At 45.2% G+C, this 23,216-nt stretch overlaps 1 protein-coding gene and 2 long non-coding RNA genes across 6 annotated transcripts in view; 2 read left to right on the plus strand and 1 right to left on the minus strand.

The window, feature by feature from the left end:
• TRPC7 (transient receptor potential cation channel subfamily C member 7) overlaps positions 1-23,216 on the minus strand; it is a 152,801-nt gene that overhangs the window by 1,158 nt on the left and 128,427 nt on the right. For all 4 annotated transcript variants that reach the window (NM_001167576.2, NM_001167577.2, NM_001376901.1 and 1 more), the window contains 4 exons: positions 17,452-17,647; positions 12,132-12,353; positions 11,372-11,452; positions 2,298-2,373 (listed from right to left, as the gene is read on the minus strand). In NM_001167576.2, coding sequence (NP_001161048.1) covers positions 2,298-2,373; positions 11,372-11,452; positions 12,132-12,353; positions 17,452-17,647 — 575 coding nt within the window. The remainder of the gene's footprint in view (positions 1-2,297; positions 2,374-11,371; positions 11,453-12,131; positions 12,354-17,451; positions 17,648-23,216) is intronic.
• On the plus strand, positions 146-8,257 carry TRPC7-AS1 (TRPC7 antisense RNA 1). Its single transcript, NR_046708.1, has 2 exons — positions 146-521; positions 8,174-8,257. It is a non-coding gene; the product is annotated as a TRPC7 antisense RNA 1 (long non-coding RNA).
• TRPC7-AS2 (TRPC7 antisense RNA 2) overlaps positions 12,753-23,216 on the plus strand; it is an 89,446-nt gene continuing 78,982 nt past the window's right edge. Inside the window, exon 1 of the long non-coding RNA NR_133682.1 lies at positions 12,753-12,811. This is a non-coding gene — a long non-coding RNA (TRPC7 antisense RNA 2). The remainder of the gene's footprint in view (positions 12,812-23,216) is intronic.

Raw genomic sequence — 23,216 nt, forward strand, 5'->3', positions numbered from 1 at the left:
CATAAAATACTTGTTAGAAAGTTTGTTTCAGAGTCACTAAAGGCAGATTTCAAGACTCTGGAAAACAACCCCATTAACCAGAGCATTGCTTTTGATGATGCTATGTTTTGTTCTGTCATTGTTATTTGTAGGGAGGAGAAACTCCCAGGAGCCTGGAGAGAATGGCTCGGCACAGCAGATGCAGCCGTGGTGGCCATGGAGCTGACCAGCCTCTTGGGAGTGAGCTGGCCACCTGAGCACGGTCCACTCAGCCCACACAAGCAGCAGCACCACCTCGCTGACAGGAGCTTCGTCAATGCCTGCCGCCTCCTCCTTCCATAACGAGGGACCACCTAGCAGGGACTTTCACTTTTATTTCCACAGAGAACCTTGTGGTTAGAAGTCCAATGGGTCTAGGCTGTGGGAATCTTCTTATTAACCACAAACAGATGTCAAAAGGATCTTTCCTAATACTGTAGATACTGCACTTGGCTCGTGTGGGAGTCCACTGTCTGTGGAAACATTACTCGTCTATTTTTCAGGTATGGTCTATACACATAAAAGGCAGAGATCTTAAAGGTACAGTTTGATCCATTTTGACAAATGGATACACCCCCTGTTTTTATCAGATGCTTCACTGAGCCCCCGTTTCATGGTGTAATTTAAGTGCCATGACACCTGGATACCCCCACCTTCTATGATCAGTGATATTCACATGAATCAGTTACATACTGCTTGAGGCTGGCTGGCCTGACACTTGGCCATTGTTTGAGACCTACAAGTAGGTAGGTGGGCTGTTGTCTGCCCCTAAACCATGTCAGCTCAGGGGCAGTTCAGTTATGGCTGAGCTTCGAGCTGCATGCTGGGTGCCCCAGGATGAAGCAGAGGGTCACCCAATGACCAGGCTCTTTCTGTAGTTCCCTGTGGCCCAAGCTAGGAGAACAGAAACTTCAATCATGGATGAGGCTGTTTCTAGGTGGCAAATATTTGTCATAAGTATCTCATTAATTACCTGGCATAAAGTAATTTGCTTTTCATCTAAGAGTAACTGCTTAAAATAGACTGGAAAACAACCCAAACAGTGAAAATAATATAGTTGGTAAACTTCAGTGTATATCAGAGACCCTTGGTGCAGTTTTCCAAAAGCAGATCCCCAGACCCCACTCCAGAGATGCTGATTCATTAGGTCTGGGTGGGGTCTGGGATCTGTAGTTTTAACAGCTAGTTCTGAGGTGGGGAACACTTTGAGAAACACGGCTGTCAGTTAGATGCTGAGAACCTCCCACTGAGACTGGACAGGGCCAGTTAGAAGCAAGCGGCGGCAGACCCTAAACGCAGTGTGCATCTGCTCAGTGGATGTGCACCATGGAATGAAGTACAGCATTGGAATTCTGAACCATCCTGCACTCAAGAGGCATGAGGTTGGCTCAAGGCTGCCATTGCTGTGGGAGGCAGAGGAATGTCCCCTACTCCCAAGATGTCCCCGTCCTGATCCCTGATGTTCTGCCTGTGGGAAACATGACTGTTTCTCCTCAAAGGGGAACTGAGGTGGCAAATAGAATTCAGGTTGCTGATCAGCTGCCCTTAACAGAAGGAGATTATTCTGGATTGTCCTGGTGGAACCAATTCAATCACATGAGTCCTTAAAAGTGGAGGAGGGGCCGGGCGCAGTGGCTCATGCCTGTAATCCCAACACTTTGGGAGGCTGAGATGGGCGGATCACAAGGTCAGGAGTTCGAGACCAGCCTGACCAACATGGTAAAACCCCATCTCTACTAAAAAAATACAAAAATTAGCTGGGCGTGGTGGCACACACCTGTGATCCCAGCTACTCAGGAGGCTGAGGCAGGAGAATCACTTGAACCCAGGAGGCAGAGGTTGCAGTGGGCCGAGATTGTGCCGTTGCACTCCAGCCTGGGCAACAGAGTGAGACTCCATCTCAAAAAAAAAAAAAAAAATGGTGGAGGAGGAAGGCAGAAGAGTGGGGTCAGAGATGGGACAATGGAAGATGAGGCAGGGCAAATGGAGTGTGAGGGTGCCTGATGCCTGCTGCCAGCTCTGAGGTGGTGGGGCTGTATGCACAGACCAAGTGCTGGAGCTCAGGGCAGCCCAGCTGTGGCCAGCAAGGCAACAGGGACAGGCCTGCAGCCCCGTGGAAATGCACTCTGCCGACAACTGAATGAGCAAGGAGACTGAGCCTCCCTGGAGCCTCTGGAAAGGAGCACAGTGCCCTGACAACACTGTGGCCGTAGCCCAGTGAGACCCACAGAACCTGTGTTGTTTTAAATCACCACGTGGGTGGAAATCCAGTCATTTACCTTCATTGACTTCGTCATTTTCTCTGTCCACCTGGGCTTTCAGGACGTATCTTTTTATGAGCCGTTTCATGATTTTCTGAAATGCCAAGCAAGGAAGGGATCAGACAGGGCTGGCCTAATGCAGAGGCAGCCTGCGTGGTGTAGCAGGACCCCTCCCTCCCTTGAAGAGCCTCAGCAACCATGGCGACCCTCCCATGCCTGGCGCCTCACTCTGGAGGGGTGCCCTGCACAGTGCGGGTACCTGGCCAGCCTCTGTTTCGCCTCCCCCGCAGGATGCAATGTGCAACTGAACCTGGGATGTAACAGGAATACTTCTTAATGGCAGGAAGCTGAGCCAAGCAGAGAGAGAGACAGAGAGAAAGGGTGGAGTGGGCAGTGGCACAAATCTCTGCTCCAGGGGCCTTGGCCTGGCTCTGCCCTGCTCAGTCAAGTCATCTTTCCTGGACCTCAGTTCTGTTTTAAGGATGGAGGGCTGGGGAAGACTTAGCAGGCCTGCCTGGGTGGAGCTGCCTCCCTCAGAGGTCACAGTGAGCAGTGTGCCCTTCATGAAGAGATCCGCTGGGTACAGAAGTCAGGATCAGGCTTGGAGGACAAGTCCACTGTACCTTGGAAAATTCCTACCAGAAGCAGAAGCAGACACAGCCGGGCCTCTGGGGTTTTACAGAGATACCACTTCCCACAGGCCTGACACTGTACTGCCGGAGTCACACTGGAGCAGGATTTGGCCCTCAAGTTCCATTTATTATGAAGATACTGAATTCGTTAAGCAGGCGAGGCATGAATAAACACTTAAGAGACACCAAGAATAGAGCCAAGTGTAGGAAAGACTGCAGGAGGTGAACTTTGGATTTTGCCAGCTAGTTGGTCCAGGGTTCCTGCGAAATCACAGGATTTAAAAATACTCGGGTAGCCGAGACTTCTGAATCTTCCAAGAGATGAGCAGTGTGGAAGAGAGGAAGGGATTTCCCTGCTCCTTGGTCCTCCCTTCTTGTGGCCTTCTGACCTGCTCACACCTGAGGACCAAGAGGACAGAGGCAGCATTTTCCAGTTTGAAGAGACCTGTAGGGACCTGATTCTGTTCCTAGCTTTGCTACATAGGCTGAGGAAAAGCATCTTGCAAATAAAAAGTAAGTGAACTGGATGCAAAGAGCTGCAGGATTTACTCATTATCATCAATTATGGTTCTTTCCATCCCTTTAACCATGAAGAGCTTGCCACAGAGATGCTTCCTGGCCTGTGATTCTAAGACTTCACCTGAACCCGAAAGGCTCTCTAGGATAACACTGGGTTTAGCTCATTCAGGCCAGCACTGCCCCTCCTCAGCCCTCGGGCTCATGGGCCAACTGGCTGTGTGGTTTGAGTTGTGATCTAATTTCAGGCTGAAGAGTTAATTGGCAGTTGCCTTCCTGCTGCTCCTTCTCAGAGAAGCCTGGGTCTTATCCTACTAGCGGTTAAACTGCAGCGCTGAATTTCTCATGGACATAGTCTAGTCAATAAAGTAAGTTATCTAAGTTATAAAAAATATATCCCTTTCAAGCTAGGTGCAGTGGCTCATGCCCATAATCTCAGCACTTTGGGAGGCCAAGGTGGGTGGATAACCTGAGGTCAGGAGTTCAAGACCAGCCTGGCTAAAATGGCGAAACCCTGTCTCTGCTAAAAATACAAAAATTAGCTGGGCATGGTGGTGTGTGCCTGTAATCCCAGCTACTCGTGAGGCTGAGGCAGAGAGCATTGCTTGAACCTGGGAGGCAGAGGTTGCAGTCAGCCAAGATCATGCCACTGCACTCCAGCCTGGGCAACAGAGCAAGACTCTAATTCAAAAAAAAAAAAAAGAAAAAAGAATATATATATAATATAATATATAATATATATTTAAGATATATAATATATGAGATATATAATATATATTTGAGATATATTATATATAAAATATATAATATATATTTGAGATATATATAAAATATATAATATATATCTCAAAAATATATTTTTTGAGATTATATAAAATATATATACAAAATATATGTATCCCTTTCCATGAGACTCAGTAATGCTGCTTTCACTTTGAGTTGGAAAAACAAAACAAGACAAAAACTTTGTCCTAAACTAGTTCTCATGAAAAAAAAAATAACAAAACAGACACTTAGTTATCTGTCATTCTTGCTGAATAAGAAATTCAGAAGTGTTCTTCCACTGCAATCTTTCAGGCTGACACAAAATTAAAGGGACCTAGTTAAAGTTGGTTGCCTTTTCAAGGCAAACCTCAGGAATTAAGGGTTCTTCAGTTTCTGGATCCAACAATTAAAGAGCTTTACTGTTTCTCATGTAAAATGATAAGCCAGAGATTGGCAGTCAAATGGTGTTGAGGAAAATTCTTTCATAGGTGCAGCCGGAATTACAGCCCTTCCTGTTTGGTGTGCACATTTTGTATTTAAGAACATTCCATAGCATGTATTTACTAATAATAGAAAATGTGCCCCTCAAACTCTATTTGGCTGGGATAGGTGAGATCCTGCTCACAGTCTCCTTCAATGCAGAGGAGCCCCTCAGGAGGAAGGGTGAAAGGATGAAGACGCAAAGAAGCAAATGCATTGAGTGCTTCCATAGACCAGGATTGTGTCAGCCTCTCATAAAAGTGATCTTACTGACTCCTCCAAGAAACTCAGTGAGATGGGAGTTGTCATTTCCATTTACAAATGAGGACACTGAGGCTCAGAGACTGATGTAACTTCTCCAAGGTCACACAGCTGGAAAGTGGCAGATCTGAGATTTAACCAGCATGGAAATCATGGCTGAGACTTCATCTGAGCATCAAAACAAAGGCTCAAGATGGTTTAGGAAATGAGATGTGGGAAACTGGCTCCCATTAGTCAAAGAGGGTTTGGGCTGTGTCTGGGTACTGAGTCATTTTATGCAGGGGGAAGCCTCACTAGATTTCAGAGGCTGGGTGACATCATACAATGGTCATCCCTTGAAGAAGGGGGTCTCTGCTCTGGCACTGGCAGGAATGCTCATGGCCCACTCTTGAGCACTGGCATGCTCGATCTGAGCCAGGGTTTCTGTAGACCTAGGGCTCAGAGGGTAGAAAAGCAAAGGTTTACTTTGAAGCTCTCAGTATGCATTAGGATTATAAAGTCTTCTTGTGGAAGCAGAATCAGATGAGCACTGCAGATGTGCAGGGACACTTTAGCCTTCCTCCTCACCTCCAGGGCACTTCCCAGAGTGACAGGGACCTTCAGGGAGAGCAGTGTGACTGCCTGCCAGTTCTTAAAGACTTCATGTCCTGCCAGGCACAGTGGCTCATGCCTGTAATCCTAGCACTTTGGGATGCTGAGGTGGGTGGGTCACTTGAAGCCAGGAGTTGGAGACCAGCCTGGGTAATATGGCGAAACCCCATCTCTACTAAAAATACAAAATTTAGCCAGGCATGTTGATGTACACCTGTAGTCCCAGCTACCTGGCAGGTTGAGGCAGGAGAATTGCTTGAACCTGGGAGGTAGAAGTTGCAGTGAGCCGAGATGGTGCCACTGCACTGCAGCCTGGGTGACAGAGCAAGACTCTGTCTCAAAAACCAAAAAAACTTCATGTCCTCATAGAGACCTAACTTCCCTTCTGTTATGTGCATGCTGCACAACTTGGTATCTGCAAAAACCAGTTTTGCCACCAGAAAGCCTGAAATGGTTGGAGAAATGGCCAAAAGTTCTGTTTAACATGGATGGCACAGAGGATATTGTTGCGGGAAGTCAGGGACCCTGAATGGAGGGAACGGCTGGAGCTGCGGCAGAGGAACATAAATTGTGACGATTTCATGGACATTTATCACTTTCCTAATAATACTTTAACAATTTCTTACACTTGTCTTTATTTTAATCTCTTAATCCTGTTGTCTTTGTAAGCTGAGGATGTACGTCACTTCAGGACCACTGTGATGATTGCTTTAAGTGTACAAATTTATTGTAAAACGTGTGTTTGAACAATATGAAATCAGTGCACCTTGAAAAAGAACAGAATAACAGCGATTTTCAGAGAACAAGGGAAGACAACCATAAGGTCTGACTACCTGCGTGGTCGGGCAGAATAGAGCCATATTTTTCTTCTTGCAGAGAGTCTATAAATGGACATGCAAGTAGGGAAGATATCACTGAATTCTTTTCCTAGCAAGGAATATTAATAATTAAGACCCTGGGAAAGGAATGCATTCCTGGGGGGCAGTCTATAAATGGCCGCTCTGGGAGTGTCTGTCTTATGAGGTTGAGATAAGAACTGAAATATGCCCTGGTCTCCTGCAGTACCCTCAGGCTTATTAGGGTGGAGAAGAAACCCCACCCTGGTAAATTTGAGGTCAGACCAGTTTTTTGCTCTCGAACCCTGTTTTCTGTTGTTTAAGATGTTTATCAAGACAATACGTGCACAGGTGAACATAGACCCTTATCAGGAGTTTTTGATTTTGCCCTTTGCCTTGTGATCTTTGCTTTGCCCTTTGCCTTGTGATCTTTATTGGCCTCAGAGGCATATGATCTTTGTTCTCCTTTGAAGCATGTGATCTTGTGACCTACTTCCTGTTCTTGCACTCCCTCCCCTTTTGAAATCCTCAATAGAAACCTGCTGGTTTTGTGGCTCAGGTGGGCATCATGGTCCTACCGATATATGATGTCACCCCCGGAGGCCCAGCTGTAAAATTCCTCTCTTTGAACTCTTTCTCTTTATTTCTCAGATGGCCGACAATTATGGAAAATAGAAAGAACCTACATTGAAATACTGGGGGCTGGTTCCCCTGATAGGATATCTATTTCTATTCTAGAAATAGATATAGAAAATAGATATAGATATAGAAAATAGATATAGAAAAGATGGACATAGAAAGCCTCCCTTCTTTCACTATGTGGGGGAAATGTGTGTGTGTGTGTATGTGTCTGTGTGTGTGTGTGTGTGTGTGTATGTTTTGTGATGAGTTTGAGATACCTCCTTGCTATCTTCCATAGAGTTCTTTCACTTCATGGAGATAATAAGCTTTCTCCAAGTTACTATGTCCCTGGTAGTGGCAACTCTCCCTGCCCTGCCCCATGCATTAGCAAATACTGGAGATGAGTATATTGAGTGCTATCACTCAGGCAAAGCATACTCAAGAGGATGAAGATGAGATGCACAATGGATAAGAGCAGTTGTCACGCAGAGCCCTACATCCGGAGAGGAAGGCACACAGTTCCCACAGCCCAGACCCGGCCCAAACTACAAGAGGCCAAATGGCCTCTGGCCGCTGATGGTGAAGGGGAACACAGGACATCTTTCTATGGGAGAGACAACTCTCCCTGCACAGCCAGGGCAGATGAGGACACAGATAAGGAAGCAAGGAAGAGAACACATACTGTACACTGATGATGGCCAATGAGGTAGGATCCAGAGGGAAGAAATGTGGTCACCTAGGAAAACAGAAATTGAGGAACATTTGGAAGAGAGTGGACAAAATAGATCACAGGACAAGTCATTTGTTAAACTGAGGTTTATCAGACACAACAATAGAAGAAATAGGCACTGGCAAGTTGTCCATCCTCTTTGCTTTGATCTCTTCGGTAAAGGCTATTTAGAAGATGGAAAAGAGAACTCCCCACGGGGTTTTGGGGAGCAGATTGCAGCATAAAGATTGGAGTGTATGTGAATGATGGATGTGCCTGGATTCTATGGTTTATTTGGGATATCGCTTGTTTACTTTGACCATGAAGAAATATGCCTCTCAGAGTGAGTATGTGGGTCTGTATACTTCCTGCCCCAACAAACTGACAAGCTGGATCTTGAAACAGATCACAGGGAGCTTGGGGATGAGGCATACTTTGGCCATCTCACCAGTATCATGGTTTTGTTCCATTGTTTGGTCTCAGGTCTGCAGAGCCCAGACTGAAAAACACATTAAAAAAATGGTTTTGTGAAAAATAACAATTCAGACACCCTGGAGCCTAAGGAAAAAAAAAACACAGAAAGCCTCTGAAGTCTGAAGGAGCTGTCTTCCCTTACAACAAAGACCTCACAAAAGCAGAAGGATTGACAAACAGCTGAATGAACACCTGAAATGCTAACAGTCGAGAAATCGAATGAAGAGACAAAAAAGCAGCAAACTTAGTAACTAAATGTGTGTGAACGATGGTGCTTTTATCTTCTTGGGAACACTAAGTGATTTCTCAGAGCCACAACATGTGAGAAGCTGATGGAATATGTGCTCAGTGACAGCAGCTCTGCCTAGGGCCTGGATTGTAAGAAGGAGGGGGTGAATTGGGCTGCTCATGTTCTCTGCACATTTGGAAGCTGCTGTGGGAGGAAAGCAATGCTACTTGGAAGGCCACTGGTAGGCCCAAGGAAAGAGAGGAACCATACTCAGATCCCCCCTCAAATTGTCCTTGCTGCTGTTGACAGCAAAAGTGCCCCAGTGCCTTCTGCTCCTTGCCTCCTCACTGTGTGCTTGGAAGGCTCAAATAGGTCTCTTCCTGGTGACTGTCAAACACAGGCAAGAAAGGTTCTGAGGAGGGTGCTGGTGCAAAACTACGAAGATAAATAATAGGCAGGTGTCCAGGCAGCATGACGTGGTGAGAGAGGGGGGGCCCTCTGAGTCAGAGAGATCTCAATTCAGTCACTTGTGTGGCCTTGGCCACTGAGCCTCAATTCCCTCATCTGTTACATGGGGTTGAAGACAGTGCCCATCTCCAAGGAATATGGGAGAGTACACGTGAGCTAGTGTCCAGCCTGCATCCAGGTATCTTTTAGTGACATCTCAGGGTTTACTCCAATTGTGAGCAGATGATGACTCAGGACGATGCCACACAGCCTAGCAGGGTGGAGCCAAGAGCCAATGTGCAAAGACTGCTTTCTCTCAGCCCCTTTCCTCTGATGCCTACTGGCTGGCTTTTTGTTTCTTTTCTGTGACAACTATTTGAATAAGTCACCTCAGGCTTCTTCTGTGGAGTCACAAATTACAAAATGAGCAAAGCTTTCCAAGGTCATCAGTTGCCTGAAGCTGTAGATGACCAATCTCTGTAATCACAGCAGGAAGTTCCTGGGGAGATTCAAGGCAGTATGGACTCAACCAGCGAGGACGGAAGACAGAGATGGGACTGCTTTGAGACTGCTTTTGAAAATGGTCTCCTGCTAGGCGTGGTGGCTCATGCCTGTAATCCCAGCACTTTGGGAGGCCGAGGCAGGTGGATCACCTGAGGTCGGGAGTTTGAGACCAGCCTGACCAACATGGTGAAACCCCATCTCTACTAAAAATACAAAATTAGCCAGGCATGGTGGCGCATGCCTGTAATCCCAGCTACTCGGGAGGCTGAGACAAGAGAATCACTTGAACCTGGGAGGCGGAGGTTGCAGCGAGCCGAGATCGCACGATTGCACACCAGCCTGGGCAACAAGAGTGAAATCTGTCTAAAATCAATAAATAAATAAAGTAAAAAAAAAAAGTAAAAAAAGAAAAGAAAATGGTCTCTTTCAGAAAGGATTCATTCTGGAATGGGACATTCACACAGAATTGATCTTCCTTTATCTCAGGAGCTAATTCTGCTCAAAACCTAGGAGAGATTTGGCCCTAACCCATTGGGTATCTATCTTTTCTGTGACACAGATAATCTATACTTCTCTCTGAAAAGCTGAGAAATAAAAATACTTTCACTGACCAAAGGCTTTGGTCTGTAAAATAGCTCAAAGCAGATCAAACCAGTCAGTGCCAATTTTGTGCGCGATTAAACACAAGATTTGCCCATTGCTAATTTTTCGCCTGTCATCTGATAGAACTATAAGCTCTTTGAGGGATGAGCCATTTCTTAATTGTGCAATTAAATTCTCCTAACTGCACAGCTGGCTTCTGAAATATGGTTGGAGAGATTCAGTTAGAGACCTGTATCTAAAAGATCTAAGTCTGTAATTCTCCCTGTGGGAAGGTGGCACCAGGGGCACATCACCTCCACCCAAAGGAATGCTCAGGACAGCTTAAAATTTACATCTGATAAGAAATGATCAGCATAGGTGAAACTGCTGATCATCGAGAAGTGGAAGACAGGAAAGGAGTGGCCTGCCCTTTTATAATTGATCATCTGTAGCTATCGTTTATCACTGGCGCATGGGCTGATCCAAACGGATACAGAGATCTGGCATTCATTTCCAAAAGCAATGCAAGGATTGGAAGCATAAAAGTTCTTTTTCTAATTTTTCTGACAACAGACTTGGCAGGCTGGCAGTCCAAGTCTGAAGACACCTATATCTACTTGACTGCTTAAGACAGAAACCTGTGAGCCATGCTGGGTGTGCCTCGCCCTCCCCATATGTGCCCAGCAGCTATATATCCAGAAAGTGTATAGCATCTGTCTGCTTTTCTCTATCACCCTGCTCGTACCCCAATCCAAGCAACCATGCCTTGTACCTGAATGACTGTCACATCCTCCTCACTGGTATCCCTGCTTTTACTCTTGTCCCCACCTGTCTCTTCTCATTATAGCAGTTAGGTGGTTTTCTTAAAGCGCGAATACAATTTCATCATCTCCCCTCCTGGGCAAAGTTACCCTCTCCCCCATCCTGACAGTGGTCTGGCCCTCTGACCTCACTCCCTCCACCCTCTGCTTCCACAGGGCCCAGCTGCCCTGGACCTGCCACCCTTCTCTTCCTCTGCCTGGAAGGCCATATATGGCTGCCTCCTGCATCCGAGTGGTCTCGGCTGACTGTTCTCTCCTTGAAGATGTCCTCTCTGAAAACTATATCTAGGCTGAAGCTCCCTATTTTTCTCTGTTTTTGAGTCCTCCTGTTTGCTTTTTGTCACTATTACCAGTTTGAGGGCATACACTTATCTGTGTGTTGACTTGTTTATTGTCCATCATCACTAGACTGGAGGTGCCACTGAGGGAGGAACCACATCTGTATCTGTATCCCCAGGAAGTAGCACAGTGCCTGACATATAGTAAGTACTCAATAAATATTTGTACAATAAAGGAAGGAATGAAGCTGTGTTCTCGGGGGATGACACAGTCATGGGACTAAATCTGTGTCTTAGTGGAGTCTACTTCTGCCCATGCTTGGATGCTTGGGAAAGGGGTGGTTACCTGGTATCTGGTGGGCTTGCTCAAAGTGTTATTTGCTGTCAGATTTTCAGAATTCCTCATGCCAGCCTGGTAGCGAGTCTTCTGGATAAAACAAACAAACCCACACACATCACACAGAAAAACATACATGCATCCCTACATATCTCGTAGGACTTGAACAGTATCCATATACGGGGCTGTCTCAGTGAAGCAGCTTTTGAAAGCTGATTTACCTGGTGCTGCTTGGCTTCCTAGAACATTGTTCCTAGGACCTTTAGCTCTGTAGGATGTTAATAAGGGTTACAGAATATTTAGTCAACTTGGTTGGAAAGCACTGAATTAAGGTTACATGGATGTCTTTTCTCCAGGGGTTTTAACATACTAATAAACACTGAGAATCCCCAGGAAAGCCAGACAGTGGGAAGGAAACCTTTTTCTCAGAGATCATTTTCCAGATACTTTCTGAGAAAAGCTGTTCCATTTCCAAGTCCACTAAGGGGTTCCCTTCACTGGGGTCATGGCTTAGCCAGGCAGCTTACTATGTCCCCAGCAGGGCACCTCTCCAAGGGGTTGCAAGGAGAAAGGAGGGTATCACAGTAGCCTCTGCTGGCATTGGAGCTTTCAGATGTGTCCAGGTAGACTCTACAGAGTACCGGCCCTCCCAGCTCCTGGCTCCCCTTGCATGGGGTGGGGGAGGGCAGCCATATGACTCAAACACACTCTAGACTCGCCTGCCCCCTCCTGCTGCCTTCTCCAGCCTCATAAACCACATGCTACCTACCTTGAATTTGGAATTCAGCATGCCCATTTCAAGGTCATTTTCACAGCTTTTGGCCTTAGATTTGCAGAGTTTTATGAGGCACATCTTGATTCTCATTATGAGATAATAAAATGATTTAGGACTTGGCACTAGATTAAAAGGAGCAGGTAGAGTTCTTCCTTCATCAAAGTAAGACAGCCAGAGTTTTGCTCGGGCGAACTTCCATTCCACATCTGCATCCTCCTGTGGAACAAGGGAAACAACAACACACCCTCAAAGGCCACGATTTAACAACGGAGCCCAACCTGAGGAGCAGAGACACAGCCCCAACATTCGGAAAGCAGACTTCTAAGCAGGACTTGGTGTAGTTTTTCTACAGATGGCACAGAGAAGGGGAGTTTGCTCTCACTAAAACCATGCACAATGGTCACTTTCTGCCTGTCTTCTTTGGACTCATGGCTGAAAAGCCTCGACCAGTTCATATTAACCGCCCCTACCCTCCACTGGGTATATTTACCAACATTCTCCATTTGCAGCTAACCAAAGAACTTTTCTCACTGCCACTTAATATTGTTATTCATTAATTTTTATAGCTCTGCTAGCTGATTCACCAGCCACCACAGCATTATTGTACTTATTAATCTCTAAAGAAGTGCTGCTCACTAGAAATACATTGTGAGCCAAAAAGATGAGCCACATAGGTAAGTTTCAATTTTCTACTAGCCCCATTCTAAAAAGTAAAATTGAACAGGTGAAATTAATTTTAGTAATATATTTAATGCAGTAGATCAAAAATATCATTTCAACATGTAAGCATTATAAAACAATATTAAGATAGCTTACCGTATTGTTTTCATACTAGGTCTTCAAACTCCAGTGTGAATTTTATCCTTACAGCACATCTATTTAGACCAGCCACATTTTAAGTGCTTGATAGGCGTATGTGGTTAGTGGCTACCACACTGGACAGCACAGTATATTTATTAGACAGTATATTTCTTATTGGTCAGAGTGCTGCCAGGGAGGATGTTTATAGATCTTGCATATGTAATTCAAGGGGAGCAAAGCCTGAGTGTAGTTTGTAGGAGGTGATCCAGTTGTGTTCTCTTCTGGGGTAGACTTAAACCCAGGTTCTGTTCTTTCTGACATTGTGTCAATGCCAGAATGCTAAGTGGGCCCCTGAGAGTAGCAGGTGTATTTTGTCTAGACAGGTTCCTTGAACCTCTGTCCTAGGAGGGCAGTTTGAGACCAGGAAAGAGGCATGGGGTTTGTAAACAGATGGACCTGGGCTCAAAACCCCTTATTAGCTGTGTAACTTTAGGCAGGTGTCTTGAGCTTATGGAGATAAAACTGCTTCCCTCACATAGCCCTGAGGTCGGTAGTGCATGTGTGCTCCCTGAGCAGTGGGTTCCTCTTTCCACAGGCAGTGACTACACTCTGAGGGGCTGTGAACCCAGCAAGGGCCCAGGAGAGGCTGCTGGGATATACCACAAGAGTATAGGGTTATAATCAGCAGGGTTGACCACTTTGCTTTTGTTGAGGATCAACACTGGTCCTGGTCTACTTGGGGACATCCTATAAGGATCTTTTAGGTTGGAAGCTTTGTGAGGGCAGGGCTTACTCCTGGTCTCGCTGTACAAGAGAGTTGTAACAGGGACATCCGTCCTGAGAGGAAGTGTGGTATAGTGCAAAGCACATGGGTTCTGCAGCCTGTGTGGGTTTAAATCCTGGCTCTGCTCCTTACTAGCTATGCAACCATGGCAGGTGATGGACCACTCTGGGCCTTAGTTTCCTCATCTGTAATATAAGCATAGCAATACCTATCGAATAGGCTGTGAGAATTAAAGGAGTTAATGCATAGATGACACGGAACAGTGCCAGACATTTAGTAAGCCCTCAATAAATGTGATTTGCATCTCCATAGCCTAGCATAGGCCTGGTAGTCAACCTTCAGTCACTTAGCATTGATGGAGCACCTGCTATGTACTTGGCATGTGCTAGGGAGGCCCTGGGCATGACGATCCATGCCGTGGTGGAACACACAGTCTGGCCGATGATGTGAACCCAGCAAGGGCCCAGGAGAGGCCCACAAGAGTACAGGGTTATAATCAGCTATTCAACAGCTAGTTAGTTAGTCTTTTACTTATTGTTGTACCCAGAGCTGGAGGAGGGTCTAGGTGCTGAGGCCACTGACCCAGTCTGGGGGTCAGGGAAGGCTGGCTGGTGTTTGGGCTCAGATCCGAGGAGTGAGCAGTTCTCAACAAGGTCAAGAGTGGGTGGGGTGGGGGGTAGGGAATTTGTAAGAATTAACTTGTGGAAGAGGCAGCGAGAAGTGTAAATAACTTGAGGATGCCGGCAGTAAGGAGCAGGGGAGAAAGGTTGGGAGCTGGAAAGTAAGCTAGAGGGAGGATTTTTTATAGTTCCTTTTTTTTTTTTTTTAAGATCAAGTGACTTATTTAAATGCTGACAGGAAGGATTAGGTAGCAAGAGAGGGGTGAAGACGCAAGCAGGCAGGGTGCCGTGCAGTGGCGGCTGCTGGGGAGGCGGGATGAGCAGAATGGAGCAGGGCAGAGCTCTCTGCTGGAGAAGGCTGTGCTGCTTGCAGAGGCAGGGGGCTGGGGTGGGGGGAGTTGAATGGAGAGGCAGGTGCAGGTGAGTTGTGGATTTGGACAGCAGGGGCTTAAGATCTACTGACCCAATAAATTAGTGTCCTCATGGAAGGGTTTACAAATATTTGCATCATCAAAACTACATGTGATCATGAACGCCTGGCATTTTCCAGTGGTACCTTCCATGGTCCAGTAAGACAGAAGTCCAGAGCCCAGAGGGAGGTGTGGGGCTGTAATACACTCTCTGCATGTCGCGGCCCCTTTCCGTGGTGGGATAACTTGACATCACATGCCGTGGGCTTGCCTGCTCCTGCCCTCAGCTAGTGGGCATCCCTCACAGCCAACTGCAAGGCTTCCCATGCTACTGTCATTTCAACTAAAGCATTACATGCCTGTTAGGATATGGCAGATTGCCGGGGGGAGTGGTGCAGAGACCTGCAGCTTTTCCAGGCACCATCTGGTTTTCTCTTACACATGGGGAAACTGAGGCCCAGAAGGGCAGGAAGGACTAGTGGACAAGAGCTCATTATCCACACTGGTGATTAAGTATGTAAAATGCTTTAAAAATATATGTGTTGTTTGTCCATCCACAATGTGCTGTATTTTTCTGGAGGGCAGCAGCTGAGGCTTCATGGCCAGGCTCACCTCTTCCTCTCACCTCTTGCCTTTTTTCCTCGCTCAATCTATGCTCTTGCAGCGCTGAGCATACCACACTGCTTCACCCCTCCCTGCCTTGGTACATGTGCTCCCTACTGCATAGAGTACTCTTTTTTGGGGAGGGTATCATAGACTGAATTGTGTCCCCCTTAAATTCCTATGTAGAAGCCCTAACCCCCAGCAAGTTAGAAGGTGACTTGCTTCTATTTGGAGATGGAGCCTTTAAAAGGTGACTGAAGTTAAATGAGGTCACGAGGATGGGGCCCCGATCTTCTTGGACTGGTGGCAAGGCTGTGTGAGGACACAGCAAGAAGGTGGACATCTGCAAGCCAAGCAGAGAGGCTCAGAAGGAGCCAACCCTGCTGATGTTGATCTTGGACTTGTGGCCTCTAGAACTGTGAGGGAAGAAACTTCTAATGTTTAAGCCACACAGTCTGTGGTATTTTTTAGGAAAGCCCTAGCAAGTTAATACACAGGGATCTTTACTTTTTCTATATAAGAAGTATATAAACAATTGTTTCTTATAATTTAAGGACAGAGGTGCACCAGGAAATGTGAAAGTCCCATTTCAGATCTTCTCTCCTTTTATTCCCTTCCCCAGAGGACGCCCGGTCAAAAGCCCTGTAGCCTCCTTGGAGTTCTTCTCTATGTTTGCATTTGTACTGTTACATAGATTAGATTCCCCTATTTGTATTTTTCTATAACTTGCATTTTTTCACTTAATAATGTGTTAGGGATTTTCCCATGTCAGTACAAAACAGTCTTTCTCATGCTGGATGTACAGTATCCTACACCTTATTCTAAAGTGTGACTATATCACAGTTTATTTAAACATTCTCATATCAATGGACTATTTCCAGGTTTTTCCTTTAACGAACATCTACGTAAAATGATATTGGATCTATTCCCAGAATTGGAATTGTTGAGTCAATAGGTCAGTGCTTTTTATTTTAACTTTAGCTTATTTATTTAATCATGTAGAAGGTAAAGCAACAACATGATTTATAAAGGATAAAAAGTATAAAGAAAAAGGAATTCCACCCACCATGCCCCCTATTCCCACCTCTCAACAGGCACCCCGTGGTGTCTTTCTTGTGGACCTTTCAGAGGTTTGTTCTTTTCATTTGCTTATACAATCACAAATGAATCACATTCCCTTTTCTTTCTCTCTTACACAAGAGAGAGCCCACTATATACATTGTTCTGGAACTTGATTTTTACCTCCTACCACTGTAACTTGAAGGTCTTTCCCCATCAGCATATACAGAACATATTTATCCTTCTTAAAATAGAATTGCACAGCATCCCATTTTTCAGATGCATCGTAGTCTATTTAATTAGATTCCTATTAATGCTCAGTTTGTTTTTAATTTCTTGCTGTTCCAAACAAGCTGCAATCAATAGCTTATGGTTCATGCCTTTTAGATTTTGATAAATTGCTTCCTGATACATTCTCTCAACCCCTTTATCTGTCAGGCAAAATTGTTCTGTTTTTAAATGGCCTTCCAGCATCACCTCTGGAAGCTTCCCCCATAGTCAATCTCTGTCTCTGTCCCCACACCACTCCCCACAACCTGGTTGCACTGGCCCCAGGGCATTGGAATTTGTTGATTGCCCTGTATGATCTCCTCACTGGACTATGAGTTTCTCTAGGCAGGAACTGTGTCTTAGTCATCTTGGTATCACCAGTGCCTAGTGCGGATTTGGCATACAGTAGGTACTTAATAAATAACACGTGAGAGGCGAAAGGGGCCTGGGGGCTGAAAGTCATTCTGATTGATTGCCATGGGTCATCTGCACGAGGTCCTGAGAAGACAAGTGTAAAAGAGAGAAGACTCATGACCCCAGTTCTTTCTGCTCTCGCTGGGCCTCATGGTGGTACCAGCAATGCCATGGGGCAGACTGACTTTGACTGCTTCTATTTCTAGAAGCAATCCAGGAAGAATGCCTGTTCTTTGCTGTTCTGGCTGCACATTTAACAACACATGGGCTTCTAACATCATTCCCCTCATTGCTGAAAAAAGCAATGTAAATTAGATGAAGGAGAGCAAGCATTTTCAGTGACCTGGCCTTACCTCAATTTCCTGATAGGAGTTGTTTATCATGGCTATTAGCATGTTGAGCAACACTACCACCATGGTGACGTTATAAACGCCGTAGAGAACGTAGCCAATGTTCTCGATGAATTTGTGGTCGTATTTCAGCACCACTGAGATTACTTCAGATAAGCCGAATATGGACCAAAACAAAGTTTTAAAACTTTCTTCAACCCTGCAAAGAAACAGACGGTCCTTTTACGCAGTTTGCATCAGCTTGAACTTTTATTTATTCATTCATTTATCTTGAGACAGGGTCTCACTCTGTTGCCTAGGCTGGAGTGCAGTGGCTCAATCATGGCTCACTCTAGCCCTGACCTCCTGGACTCAAGCAATTCTCCTGCCTTAGCCTCCTGAGTAGGTGGGACTACAGCTGTGCACCACCGCACCTGGCTAATTGTTTCATTTTTTGTAGGGATAGGATCCCACTATGTCGCCCAGGCTGGTCTTGAACTCCTGGGCTCAAGGTATCATCCCATCTTAGCCTCCCACAGTGCTGGGATGACAGATGTAAGCCACTGCATCTGGCCAGCTTGAACTTTTAAAATGAAAGTTGCCATTGGTCATGCTTTACCCTGGAGTGCCCAGTTGTTACCCTGGAGTGGGGCTGGGCTGGTTGGTGATGCCTGCATTCTGAGATAATGTGATATTCAGATTTCTAAGAAGACTTTGAAAGAATATTAAAAATGGCAAGCTCTTTATTTTTTATTCAATCCATTTATTGGGACTCCTGGCTGTGGTATCACTTTTCTCTTACTGTAATTAACTTAAACATTTAAAATTAAACACCTGGGTAAATGTTTGTTCTTGTGCATTATGAGCCCCAGAAAGTGCATTCTTCCTTCCATTAAGCCCTAACCATTTCTTCTCAGACTCCACAGCCCACGTGAAGGGGAGTGATGGCAGACACCTGGAAAGTGGGCAGTGTCCACACAGGAGGATGGCATCCCTGGAGTCTGACACTTCTAGGCACTCGACAAAGAGCAGCTCACTTAAGCCTCATGACCAGCTCTGTGGCGGGCTCTCATATGACCTCCTGTTACAGAGCTGAGGCTAGCCACATGTATTAAGCTTTCTAAACTGGGGCTGAATTATCAAGAATGAGAGTGGGGATTTTGGTGTGCCCACATGGTTCAAAATCACCAGGTGATTGCCCAAACCTCACCCTACGGCTCACTTAGGTTAGATGCTGCATGTGCCTTGAAGGCAGTTCAGGTTAGTCTCAGCTTTAACGACACTGCTCTTTGGCCCTTTTGAGACTACGAAGTAACTGAAATACAGTAGTGTTATGAATAAGACCCAAGTGCATTTCGTAGTCCATACTCTATGGGCATGACACTGTATCAGGCTGATGACCTAGAATCGAATAAGAAAGCTGGATTTTGGTTGGGAGGTTTAGACCATGCATGTATATCTGGTAACATCTGAATGGTTAAGTGCAGTTCTTTTAGTTTTCATCCAGATTTTTGGTACCACTGTAAGAAAGCACTTTTTTTTTTCCTCTTTAACATTTCAGGTTTTCAACACTCACCCACAAATGGCCAGGATTAGCTAGATCTTTAAAAATATCAGCATTTCTCAAGGATTGGTATTTATTTGACAAGATGTACAAAAATACTGGTACTCGTCACTTGGGCTAAAAATCCAACTCTTGACTCGCATGAATTTACAGCTCTCCCGAGTGTGATTGTGTGGGGGTGTATGTGTATCTGTGTGTGCGTGTGCATGTGTGTGTGTCTACCCAGCTGTTTGGCTCATTCCCTATGCACACTCTTCAGAGTCTGAAAAACTGATATTTGAAGTGGGATTCTATTGTCAGTGTTTGTTTTTAGTTTCTTTTAAAACTGTGATTTTGAAACATTTAATTCATTTTAGCATTAGCGAGAAATAATTTAGTTGGGTGTTTATAAGCAACGACAGGGTATTAAGCCATTATTGCAGAGCTCCAGCTCCTGGTGCTATTCTGGAAGGGGGGAGAACTGTTTTCCTCATGTGAGATGCAGCATTTTGTGTGAAAAAGATGTCATCCACCCTGTGTCATGATTCACTGCAGTACTGTGTCCCATTATGAACAATCTTTCAGTTATCACACTCGTGGAAGGGAACAGTGGCAGAGAGATTTCAAAACCACCAGATGAACCCTAAATTCCAAACTGGAAGGAGACAGTAGGCCGTGATCTCTCTTAGAGTTGCTCCCTTCCTGGCAGGATCAGTGAAAACTGGAGAACAGTGTCTGAAGGGGAGGCTGGGCAGACAAGGGCTGATCTAGGATTATACACTTGTCATGGACCAACAAAGGAATGGATCATACTTGCCATAGAGAAAGGCTTTACCCAAATTCATCTTCCCTTTCTTACCTTGGAACAACCCAGAAACCTTTGGCTGACACAAATGAAGTGAGCGATTACAGAACACATCCAGGGAAAACCCTCTGAATTTTGATTAGGGAACGTGGGCCTACATTCAGCTTCCATTTTTTTCTCATTTGCATCTTGCCATAAATTTTGCCACTGAGCCCTGATTTATCCTTGGTGCCTTCTCTTAGGTATTCTATATCAATAATCTGAAGAAACAGGCCTGGCTTATTAAGCAGTATGTGTTCCAGCAAGGTAATATTTACAAATCTCGAGGCTTTGCCTTAGTTTCTCCTTTACCTGACCCCCGCAGCTCAGGACAATTAACCTGGCCTGGAATGCTGATATGTTCAATTTGTTGTCTGTCTTCCAGACAATCTTCAGTACTGCACATCTGTTTTATTTCTGTTCTGTGGTTTAAGGAGTAACTCCTGGACTTGGATTTGGCCATTTCTCCAACAGGCTCTACAAAAGGCCCAAACTCACTGGGACTGCCAGAGTGGGAGCCACACCTCCACAGCAAAAACCAGCTGCACCTGTCTAGGCAGGACGGGGTCTTAGACAAACTATACATTTCTTTTCTTTTTTTTTTTTTCTGAGACAGAGTTTCACTCTTGTCGCCCAGGCTGGAGTGCAAGTGGCACGATCTTGGCTCACGGCAACCTCCGCGTCCTGGGTTTAAGTGATTCTCCTGCCTCAGCCTTCAGAGTAGCTGGGATTACAGGCGCGCGCCACTGTGCCCAGCTAATTTTTGTATTTTTAGTAGAGACGGGGTTTCACCATGTTGGCCAGGCTGGTCTTGAACTCCTGACCTCATGATCTGCCCACCTCGGCCTCCCAAGGTGCTGGGATTACAGGCATTAGCCACCGCGCCTGGCCCTAAACTATGCATTTCTAATGATCTCTTCTAAGCTGTTAAGGCCCTTGCTTTCTCTTTTCATGGGGCAAAATGAATGAGGTAATAAAATCTTCATTTAAAGAAAGGTGGGCCTATTGGTTTGATTCACCCAATATGGCTAGATTCACCATTTGAGGCTCTTGGGTCTTTCATTTGTACCCACATGTTCTTGTCATGAAGATAAGTGGACTAACTGAATAGACTAATTCTGTTGCTGTTTTTGTTGTTGTTATTAGAGGGCACCTTATGGGCAGAGTTATGTCCAATTATCTGGGCTAAACTGTAAGCAATACAATATTTTATCCATAGTTCAAACCATATAACTAAATAACTTCTGAATGGAATTGAAGAGTTAAATGTTAAAAAAAAAATTCATGGTAAAAACACTAGAATAAAGTATTGGTGAGAATTTATTACATAATTCTGGGCTGGGGGAAGTTTCAGAAACTACAAAGCTTGAGAGATTTGGCCACACAAAACTTTACTTGTACACATGAAAAACATAATAAGTAAAAACATAAGGCAGAAGACTGAGAAAAGAATTGGTATTTGCAAACGTAAGACAAACAATGGATGATATCCTTACACTAAGGGCTGATAAATCAATATGAAAATGACAGACGTCCTGGTAGGAAAAAAAGGAAAAAATTTTCAGTGAAAACTTGATGCTTTTTATGGTGATTAGAGCTCTACAATGAACTTACGATGCCATGCTAGTGTCATCTTCCAACTTAACATGTGGCAGGAAATAAATGAAACTTGACCTCACTACCCTGAGTGGGAAATGACTTGTGTTGCCTTGACCTTGGGCACCCATAGTAATATATTCTCAGAGAGAAGGCTAGCATTGGAATGAGTCAATAGTAAATCAGTTATCCCAAGGGCTCAGGTATTGGAGCTGGCTCTAATGCCCCATGAGGTTATGAGGCTCTCTGAGTTATATATTAATCATCATCCACAATTTTCATGAGCTCTGGAACCCAGGGCATGGGGTGGAAAGCCAGTCATTTGGGAGAAATGGGGCTGGCTTTCAGGAAGAAAATATCTTGGAATTAGGCTAGTTACTATTTGCCATAAAGCTGCTTGACTCACAGAAAGCCCCACTTAGCTGGTCTTAAGACTAGATATGAGGTTCTTTACTGATAGGAATGGCAACTACTGGCTCTACAACCTCTTTCCATCCACCCTAGCTAGTTATAAAGTTTGCCACAGATTCCTTCAACTGTGTCAATCACAGGAGATGACACAGAGCTGGAGGAGTGAGAAGATCCAGGGTGCATGCCTGGGTTCAAATCTCAGCAACACCTTGTAGTGGCTATATGAGTTTGGGCATGGGACAAAGCTTGTTTGAGTCTCAGTTTACCCAACTATGAAATTGGCATAATGATGCTTCTATTGTTCAGCTGACATGAAGATTAAATGGGCAACCTATGTGAAATATAAAGTCCAATAAATGGCAGCTATTATTTTGATTCATATATTTATTGAACTATGTGCCAGGCACCGTACCAGGCGATGAGGATACACAGGTGCCCAGATCAAATGTGTTTCTGTGCTTTTGGAGGTCCCAGTCTACAAGCAAGCCCAGTAAGATAAGAGAATGCTATGAGACTGTAAGCAGGGAGGCTCTGTTTGCCTCTGCCCTTCCCAGCATACGTACAGCCCCTCAGCCCCTCAGGTGCTTCTGCACAGGGTTGAATGGAGTCAATAATTCAGCTGCTTGTTTTCTGAACAAGACTTGTTTTTCTTCTAATCTTCAAAGATCATCACAGACCCTTGATTTCATGCAAATACTCTTTCTGATTATTCCAGCCCATGCTGTCTTTTTATATTTGACTCTGGGCCTGCAGTGGAAGGGACTGAAGTTAGTCAATAGGCCACCCCAGCATAAGAAGCACTCCTAATGAAGTAAAGGAGGAAAAGTGCCCATGAGTGATGTTGAATAGGCCACGATTCACCCTTCTCTGGGAGGGAATGTGGGTGTGTGGGAAGGTTGGGGCTGATTTGTCATGCAGACAGCAGGGACGAGGTAATCAGTTCTCCACCAGGTCTGTCTCGGCTGGATAACAGGACTTTAATAACAGGTTGCCTGAAGAGGCAGTTGTATACGGGCCTCAGAGAGCAAACTGATCAACAAGGAGAGGGTTCAGGGTGACAGGAAAATTGCTGCTTCTTCAGAATGCCATATCTCTCTCTCCCCACTGCCAGGACTCCTAGCCCCTACCACTGAATAGTTCAGTTCAGTTACCTAATCAAATCATCATATAGCAGGCTAAAATTAAGCAGGAGGATCAGCCTTTAATTGAAAAAGGCTGTTTCCCAAGCTCAGCGGACAATAGCTGGCACTCTGCTAGAGTTCTGCTGAAGGAGAATAATGCTCACCTATCATCCAAGTTGGGCTGATGGAGGAAGATGTTTAGAATGGATAAAGATCTTCTCAGAGGCTGTGCTTCTCTAATGCCCAGACCCAGAGACTGAAAGCAGTTGGACCA

Source organism: Homo sapiens, chromosome 5 (assembly GCF_000001405.40).
Source record: "Homo sapiens chromosome 5, GRCh38.p14 Primary Assembly".
Taxonomy (NCBI): domain Eukaryota; kingdom Metazoa; phylum Chordata; class Mammalia; order Primates; family Hominidae; genus Homo; species Homo sapiens.